Here is a 7,287-nt window from a genome sequence, read left to right as displayed (position 1 = left end):
AATATTTTTATAGAGATGGGGTCTCACTATGTTGCCCAGGCTGGTCTCAAACTTCTGGGCTCAAGCCATCCTCTTGCCTCAGCTTCCCAGTGTGCTGGGAGTACCGTGTGAGCCACCATGCCTGGCCCTGCATCATTATTTATGCTTCTTGGTGAATTATCATTATTTTTGTGTCCCAGGGAATGCAGATCCCTTGGGGCATCAGAGCCTAGATATAAGATATATTTGCGTTCTGTTGACCCTTAAGCTAAGTACCCACTCAAGAAATAATTGAATGAACAAGTAGTAAATACAAGTATTCATGAATGAATGTGGACCACTGCAAATAATGAGAGGTCTGGAATGTGCAACATGTTACTAGAAATAGACTTCAGCAGATGCTGTGGCTGTCGTGATAACCGTATGTGAATCTGTGGAAAGACTCCATCCAACCAAAAAAAAAAATCTTTCCCACTGGGACCTCAAATACCGTTGGCAAATGACGCTCCCTGCCGGATCTTTGCAGTTCCTGATTTTAATAATGGAATGGCCTCCTTCAGGAAGGAAGCATGGAGGGTGAGCGGGGAGGATGAAAGGAAGTCATAAGGACAGGTAGGGTCCTGCTGCATCGTCGTCTTTTAGGACAGGCTCTGACACTAACCAAGTCCTGCAATCCCAAATGCACTCTTTCCCCGTTTGCTGTCTTCCATCTGCAGAAACCGCTACTAAACATTAGGCTTGTTTTATTTTTCTTTGCTTCCATACAGGCTCTTGGTCAGTCATTGCTCAATATTTCTTTTTTTTTTTTTTTTTTTTTTTTTTTGAGACACGGTCTCACTTTGTCATCCAGGCTGGAGTGCAGTGGTGCAATCACAGCTCACTGCATCCTCAATCTCTTGGGCTCAGGCAAGGTTCCCACCTCAGCCTCCCTAGTAGCTGGGACTACAGGCACGTGCCACCACACCTGGCTAACTTTTTGATTTTTTTTAGAAACAGGGTCTTACTATGTTGCCCAGGCTGGTCTCAAACTCCTGGGCTCAAGCGATCCTTCCCTGTCAGCCTCCCAAAGCGCTGGAATTACAGGCATGAGCTGCTGCACCCAGCTAATATTTCTTTACCCTTATGGAGCTAACAAATCATGTTCCAGCCATTTCAGGATGAATGCTAAAACGGTGTTCAGATGGTAAAGTTGGACTTAATTCAGTGAGATTTAATAATAGACAATTTATGTCGATTTCCAAATAATACAAGTCAGTTCCAATATATCCCTTAAGAGACTTCCAGAACCCCATGGCGTCAGATGTGAAGAACAATCCCCACAGCTCTGCTGAGGCTGGGAGGGCGCTGGGGCTGTGGCGTCCTCCGCGCTGCCTTTCTTTCTGTTAGCTTGCATTCGCTTCTGCTCCTGAGGCTTCCTTTCCAATCTCAGCTGCGCGACAAAAGCTCAGTAGAGGCAAAAGCTCAGTAGAGGCCAGTTCAGTATTAGAAACAAGGGACGCTGGTCTGTTAATCTTTCTTCTCTATTAGTCCCCAAGGATCAGCTTTAGACACTGTGAAACCAGTGGGGCATTTCCATACAGGCTCCACACTCACAGCGCATCCATGGTACTGATGGTAGGAACAGAAGCCTCTGACGCTTTCCCCTGGCAGGTCCATCTTTCTGATCTAATCCTGGGGGTGCATCCATTGTCAGAGGTCTGGAGCAGCCCAACATCCTTTCTCTGGGGAAAAGAGCAAATGCATGCAATGCAATGTATTTACTTTTCAAAAAGAGGAAGTCTTCTTTGGGCCAAATGCCCTACCAATACAGTTAATTCTCAGTTATTTGCATTTGAATTACCTTGATGTTTTTGCATTTGAATTACCTTGATATTTTTGAAAATAGAGCACTGTACTTTTTTTAAGAGGCAGGGTCTTGTTCTGTTGCTCTGGCTGGAGTGCAATGGCAGGATCACAGCTCACTGCAGCCTCTACCTCCTGGGCCCAAGAGATTCTCCCGCCTCAGCATCCTGAGTAGCTGAGACTAAAGGCACGCCCCCGCCATGCCCAGCTAATTTTTAAATTTTTTGTAGAGACAGGGTCTCACTATGTTGCCCAAACTGATCTTGAACTCCTGGCTCAAGTGATTCTCCCTCCTCAACCTCTCAAAGCACTGGGATTTTAGGCGTGAGCCACTGCACCTGGACTTGCACTGGTACTCTTTATTGACTTCTTGGTAATTGTCCCCCATTACTAGTGGCTACATTAGTTCAGAAAGGATTTGCACAGAGGCCTGTTTTGAAACATGTGTGCTTTATTCTGGATCTAAGCTCAAGAAAGACCTGTGAAAATGAATGCCAAAGTCTCTCTCTGGGCCATGGCTTGATTGTGCCTACCCTCAGGGAGGAATGAGGGATGGCTGAGGATGGTGGGGTAGGGGCCCTGGGCCAAAAATCCCCAATCCCTGGGCCACAGACCAGCAGTATTGGTCTGCGGCCTGTTAGGAACCGGGCTGTGTGGCAGGAAGTGAGCGGTGAGCCAGAGAAGGAAGCTTCATCTGTATTCACAGTGGCCGGCTCCTCATCAGTTGCATTACTACCTTAGCTCTGCCTCCTGTCAGATCCACCCCAGCAAAGGAGATTAGGAGATTCTCATAGGAGCACAAACTGTATTGTAAACTGCGCATGTGAGGGATCTAGGCTGCAGGTTCCTTATGAGAATCCCATGCCTGATGATCTATCACTGTCTCTCATCATCCCCCAGACGGGACTGTCTGGTTGCAGGAAAACAAGCTCAAGACTCTCACTGATTCTACATTATGGTGAGTTGTATAATTATCTCATTGTATATTACAATGTAGTAATAATAGAAATAAAGTGCACAGTAAATGTAATGCGCTTAAATCATCCTGAAACCATCCCCCACCTGCTGCCCATCCATGATAAGATTGCCTTCCATGAAATCCGTCCTTAGTGCCAAAAAAGTTGGAGACCGCTACCCTGAGCAATCCTCAGTTTAGGTCTTCACCACGTGCCTCCTGGGATTTCAAAGCCTCACACACACATAAGCAAACATCCAAGGACTAGTGTCTACAGCCCATTGTTAACAGAAAAATTAAGAGACAGAACACAGTTTTTCTCTTTATTTATTATTTATTTATTTATTTTTTTTTGAGACAGAATTTTCACTCTGTCGCCCAGGCTGCAATGCAGTGGCGTGATCTCAGCTCACTGCAACCTCAGCCTCCTGGGTTCACGCAATTCTCCTGCCTCAGCCTCCAGAGTAGCTGGAACTAGAGGTGCGCGCCACCATGCCCAGCTGATTTCTTTTGTATTTTTAGTAGAGATGGGGTTTTACCATGTTGGCCAAGATGTTCTCGATCTCCTGACCTTGTGATCCACCCGCCTCGGCCTCCCAAAGTGCTGGGATTACAGGCATGAGCCACCACGCCCAGCCTCTCTTTATTTTTTAAGAGACAGAATCTCGTTATGTTACCCAGGCTGGAGTGCAATGGCACAATCATAGCTCACTGCAGCCTCAAACTCTTAGGTTCAAGTGATCCTCCCACCCCAGCCTCATGAGTAGCTGGGACTACAGGTGCACAAGTTTTCTTTAAAAAAAGGCAAGCATACACATTTATGTTAGTAGATGTAAAGACAACTCTAGAAGAATATAAACCAGATTATTAAAGTACTTGTATTTGGGAAGTGTGATTATCTATGATTTTCAATTTCTAGATTATATATCCTTGTAATGTTTGCATTTTTTACATAGAGCAGGTGTTACTACTTTTTAAAGTTGCTTTCTTGAGGTATAATATGTATATGCCATAAAATACACTCATGTAGTTGAATAAGTTTTTTTATTATTTTTTTTCTTTTTTGGAGATAGGGTCTCACTTTGTTGCCCAGGCTGGAGTGCAGTGACTTGATCATAGCTCACTGCAGCCTAGAGCTCTGGTGCTCAAGTGATCCTCCTGCCTAAGCCTCCTTAGTAGCTGGGATTACAGGTGTGAACCTCCATGCCTGACTAATTTAAAATTTTTTTTTGTAGAGATGGGGTCTCTCTGTGTTCCCCAGGCTGGCCTTGAACTCCTGAGCTCAAGGGATCCCCCTGCTGTGGCCTCCTAAAGTGCTGGAATTACAGGAGTGAGCCACCGCGCCTAGCATAAGTTTTAATCCTTCATAGAGTTGTGCAACCATCACCACAAGCCAGTTTTAAAACATTTCCATCGCCCCAAAAAGATCATTCATGCCATTTGCAGTCAACCTCCACTCCCATCTCCAACCCCAGCAACCACTGATCTTGCTGTGTGCACAGATTTGACTTTTCAGGAAGTTTCATATAAAAAGAATCAAACAATATGTGGCCTTTTGCACCTGGCTTCTTTCACTTAATGCTTTTGAGGCGTATGCATGTTGTAGTGAGTATCAGGTGTACGTCATGTATACGCAGGAATATCTGTCCCTTTGCTGTCGGGGAGGACCCCATCGCCTGGAGGTCCTGCATTTTGTTTTTCTGTTTCTCAGTTGACGGTCATGTGGGTTGTTTACAGGTCTGGGCTATTACGAATAATGCCGCTATGAACATCTGTGTCCAAGTCTCTGTGTGGACACACACGGCTAATTTTATAATTAAAAAAAAACAGAACAAAAGGACCAAAATGAATTCTGGAACTGTTTCTGGAATACGTTTCCTTTTACCAAAATGGGAATTCTAAGAATGAGGCAGGAAATGTAAAATAGGAGAGAAAGAAGTGGGCTCGCAGCAGCCTTTCCCCTCCTCGGATTTGGGAACAAAGAGGCAGGGTTGTCCCACTCTGGAAGTGGCTCATATTCGCACAGTTCATCCAAAGCTGCGGAACACGCTCAACATCCTTTCTGCCCTGCGGCACCTCTGATATCCATCTCAACCCAAACACCCACCCCTCTCACGAGTTCCTTAGTTCAAGGACAGCAAATTCAGGACATCCCACTTCCCTGCCCCTGATGCATTTAGTGAGAGCGGGGGTTTGAGTTTGGACGACTGTGGAGAAAACCCCCAAGCACCAGTGTCAATTTATGGGCTGAGACTTTAAGGTTTAGCAATTCAAGTGTTTCAGCTAGGTCCCTTCCCAGTGTGCAAAGGTCAAAGGTTGCAGTTATGGAAGGAAAAGGATCAGAAAAAAACATGGAAAATAGGATCTGGTTCTATAAGCAGGAAGGAGACACAGGAAACAATTCAGAGGAAAAGAGGCAATAAGTAAACTGGCTCTCCAAGCTGGGGAGTCTTATTCAACAAGAGGTGAGAAGCAAACGGACAGCACATTTTGGGGGGACAATGTTTAATACAAGTAGATATTCATGATTTTTAAGCACTTTGGGAAAATCTGGTGTTAATGAATATTAATGAGGACACCTGTCTTATTTATTCATTACAGCGGCTCTCCACTGGAAGTTCCTGTAGCAACTCGAGCTCCTTCCTGGGTATCTAAGGATCCAGGTGGTATCTGGAACCTGCTGCAGAGGTTGCAACCCTGCCTCTCTCTTTCAGACACTCAGGTTGCCCTAGTGACTTTTCTCCACGCCACTTTTCGTGCTATCTATGGGACATAGACTTTGAACCTCTCTCTCTCCTTTTTCCTCTCCTTGCTTTGTTTAATCCATCATTTCTAGGTGTGTGACAACATTCCCTAATTTAACCCCCCTGCTTTCCTATTTCAGCTACCAACACAATGATCTTAATACCAGCAGGTATCTAGCACTTCGCATTTTTCAAACAGCTTCTGCTAGATCCTTGCTTGGAATTTTGTGATGTAGGCGAGATAGCTAGGAGTGTCTCCTTTTTAAAGGAAGTCATGGCAGAGAAGTTCAGTGACAGCCCAGTATTACACAATCATAAAGTGGTGAGACCAGGAGCAGGTTACAGGTCCCCACCCTGGTGCAGTGAAAGGGTGGGGCACGTAAGTTCTGAAGTTTCAGGCAAATGGGCTGTGACGGAATGTGTTAAACTTAGGCTAACAGGGAATAGGGAAGGGCTGTAACAACTCATAATAGGTCTACGGAATACCTTCAAACCCATGAATTCGTATTTTAAGAACATATACTCTTGTGAGGAGTTTTCTAACTCATTTTTAAGTTTTCTAGATGTCTTATCTGCATCCTTTTTTTTTTAGGCACTGAGATCTTGAAATTGAAATGTAGACAGAGTTGTGGGGTAAAGAACTTCTGTTGAGGCCAGGTGCAGTGCTTAAGCCTGTAATCCCAGAACTTTGGGAGGCCAAGGAGGGTGGATCACTTGAGGTCAGGAGTTTGAGACCAGCCTGGCCAAGGTGGTGAAACCCCATCTCTACTAAAAATACAAAAAATTAGCCGGGCGTGGTGGCAGGCACCTGTAGTCCCAGCTACTCAGGAGACTGAGGCAGGGGAATTGCTTGAACTCGGGAGGCAGAGGTTGCAGCGAGCCCAGATGGCGCCATTGCACTCCAGCCTGGGCGACAAGAGTGTGACTCCGTCTCAAAAAAAAAAAAAAAAAAAAAAAAAAAACCAAAAGCAAAAGAACTTCTGTTGAGTGATGATTTGCAAAAATATGTCTTCAATATAGTACTGAGTAATAATTTTATGGGGCAAATAGCTCTTTATTTAATCTTATGAACTTGTATAAAATCTTGCCCTAAACGAAATTCAAATATATAGCCATTAATATTTAATGATACAATATTGGTGCTAGGTTAACATTTACCAAAAAAAAAAAAAAAAAGATTTCCAGAAAGGAACATGCTTGGAATTTAATTTAATTTGAACTAATAAATTAATTGTTATGTTTATTCTGATGTTTTTATTTCCAAACGCACAAGACAAAAGTCCTGTATCACAAAATGATGTGTAATGTTTACAACAGGTATTAGAAATTGAGATGTTTTTATTTTGGTTATTTGAGAGTAAAACTGTAGATAATGTTCCAAACCATCATGGAAGATGCAGAGCAAACTTTTCTGTATATAAACTGTACATAAAAACAAGGCATTTAGGGGGAGATATTAAGGTAGAAAGGTTGATTCGCATAAATTCTCCAGGGTCCGTGCCATTAAGTACAAATTTGTTGTTCATTTTAGCACCGGAAGCAGTACTTAGAACAAGTCATACCTAATGCTGCAGGAAACGTTTCCAAACGTGTATGAAGATACGTCTTGGTGGCAGAGCTAATTCAACAGAAGCAACTCCATCTACCTTTTCATATTATTTTGACACCAAAAAAAATCTTGAAAGTGAATGAATACATATTGCTTTGTTAAATACATATTTGACTTATATGGTGTTTATATAAATATATACATATATTTTAGAATCC

At 43.5% G+C, this 7,287-nt stretch overlaps 1 long non-coding RNA gene across 1 annotated transcript; it reads right to left on the bottom strand.

Moving 5' to 3' along the window:
• Positions 1-1,168: 1,168 nt before the first annotated feature.
• Positions 1,169-1,690, bottom strand: LINC02644 (long intergenic non-protein coding RNA 2644). Its single transcript, NR_134497.1, has 2 exons — positions 1,573-1,690; positions 1,169-1,490 (listed from the first exon to the last, which is right to left on the bottom strand). It is a non-coding gene; the product is annotated as a long intergenic non-protein coding RNA 2644 (long non-coding RNA).
• Positions 1,691-7,287: the final 5,597 nt, after the last annotated feature.

The sequence above is a fragment of the Homo sapiens genome, chromosome 10 (genome assembly GCF_000001405.40).
Source record: "Homo sapiens chromosome 10, GRCh38.p14 Primary Assembly".
Classification (NCBI taxonomy): Eukaryota; Metazoa; Chordata; class Mammalia; order Primates; family Hominidae; genus Homo; species Homo sapiens.
This window is presented reverse-complemented; position numbering and strand designations above follow the sequence as displayed.